Consider the following 2,065-nt stretch of genomic DNA (forward strand, 5'->3'; position numbering starts at 1 on the left):
TAAATATACATTCACAGAAACATCTAGAATGATGTTTGACCAAAAATCTGGGGACCCTGGCTCAGCCAAGTGGAGACATAAATCACAGAGAGCAAGGAGAATATCTATACATGGAGTATCCTAGTATGAGTGTCAATACCTGAATAGGATGAGGAAGACATCACTGTGGTAGGGGGTGAACAGGGGAGAGGTCTGATATGAAGTGTTAGAAACTTAGTAAGGTTAGACTAGTGGCTAGACAGGAGAGTAGCCCAGTTCCTAGTGTGGAATCCCAAGCGAGGTGAAGAAGAGATCTGCAGGGGAAAAGATAGGAGATGAGTTGTCAGTCCCACATTGACTCAGTTACTTTGGCTTCATAGGAATTAATATCCCATGCTGGCTTCCTCCACCTTCATTATTCCTCAGGATTGCTTTCATTATTCTTGGCCTTTTACATTTTAAGGGAAAGGTTAACATTATGTCATCAATTTCCACATTTCAAAGAGTACTGGGATTTTGTTCGATATTTCGCTGAAACTATAGATGTATCTTTGGAGAGCCAACATTTTTACAATACTGTTTTTCAACTAATGAGCATGATATAGGTTTTAATGTCTTTAAATAATGTTGTGTAGTTTGGGAGTAGCGGTCTGGGGCACTCATTATGAAATCGATTCCTTGGGTTTCAATTTTTTTAAAACTACACTAAGTAGTATACTTTACTAATATTATTTTCTACTGTTTCTAATGTATAAATCACTACATTTGATTGTGTATATTTTATTCTATCCAGATAACTTGTAAAAATTAACATTAATTTTCAGAGTTTATATGTAGTAACTTTTAAATTATCTACCTATACCATATGTCACTGACATTTTATTTTTTTCTTTTCTTGTTCTTAAATTTAAATTCTTTTTCTTGCCATTTCTCTGACTAGAACATCCAGGATAATGTTTATTGGAAATGGTGATAGCAGACATTATCTTCTCACTCATGACATCAACAGGAAAGCTTTTAATATTTCCCATTTTAATATACTGGTTGCTGTAGGGTTTGTTTGCTTTTTTTTAAAGTCATGATCATATCCCGAAGCATATCACATGGAATTCGCTGTAAGTTTTTTCTCAGTCTAAGTAAATATTTCCTTCATATGCTCATTTTTATTTATAATTTTGGATTATTTTCTTATAAAGGCCTTCCCTTAAATTTTATAATCTTATAAGCACAGGAGTTCAAGGCTGCAATAAACTGTGGGATAATACCACTGCACTCTAGCCTTGGTGCTGGAGAGAGACCTTGTCTCTAAAAGAAAAAGAAAAAAAAAAACCTAGAAGCGTGAAACTCCACAACACCTACCCCATCCCTGTTGGTGCAAACATTCAGTGCTGCCTTGGGTAACGACCCTCCAGCAGCCTACCAGCTCCACTACCCTTCCTGTGTTGTCTTTCTTCCCTAGGCTGGTTTCCTCATGATTGCTAGGTGGCTACAGCTCCCCATGGTTAGTATCCCCAGTTCAGAAGAGAAGAAGAAAAATGTCTTCTCAGAAAGCTTTGTTGTTTTATTTCAGAAGGAAATTCCTTCCTAATTAGCAAGCCTCTGCCAATATCTCATTGGCCTAAGGGGTAACCACTGAACTGTAGCCAGTAGCAGAGGAGACATTCTTATATTTGCTTCTATTATTACATCAGTAAGGACTGGATTTTGTTATTCCTCTTCATCAATCTGCAGTCATCATTTCTCACCAGGACCTGCATTAAAAGCATAGGCAAAAAAACTCTAGTTAGTGACTTACCACATTTCCATAGGATTTGAAATTAACTAGTACTTTTACTTGTTGTTCTGTAATTCTTTTCTGTGTATATTTATTCATCCTAATAAAAAGATATCAACTTGAATTCTATATCTTACAACTTAGTAAGTTACCACCTGCCTCCCATACGCACACCAACATGCCTATCCTCTACAATAAAGAAATGAAACGAAATGAAATGAGAAATCAGTTGTTCCATAAACATCTATTGGGGATCTTCAATAACTCTTCTAATTTGGGTACTCAGTTTCTTCCCCTTTGATAAAATGCATT

Source organism: Homo sapiens, chromosome 12, assembly GCF_000001405.40.
Source record: "Homo sapiens chromosome 12, GRCh38.p14 Primary Assembly".
Taxonomy (NCBI): Eukaryota; Metazoa; Chordata; class Mammalia; order Primates; family Hominidae; genus Homo; species Homo sapiens.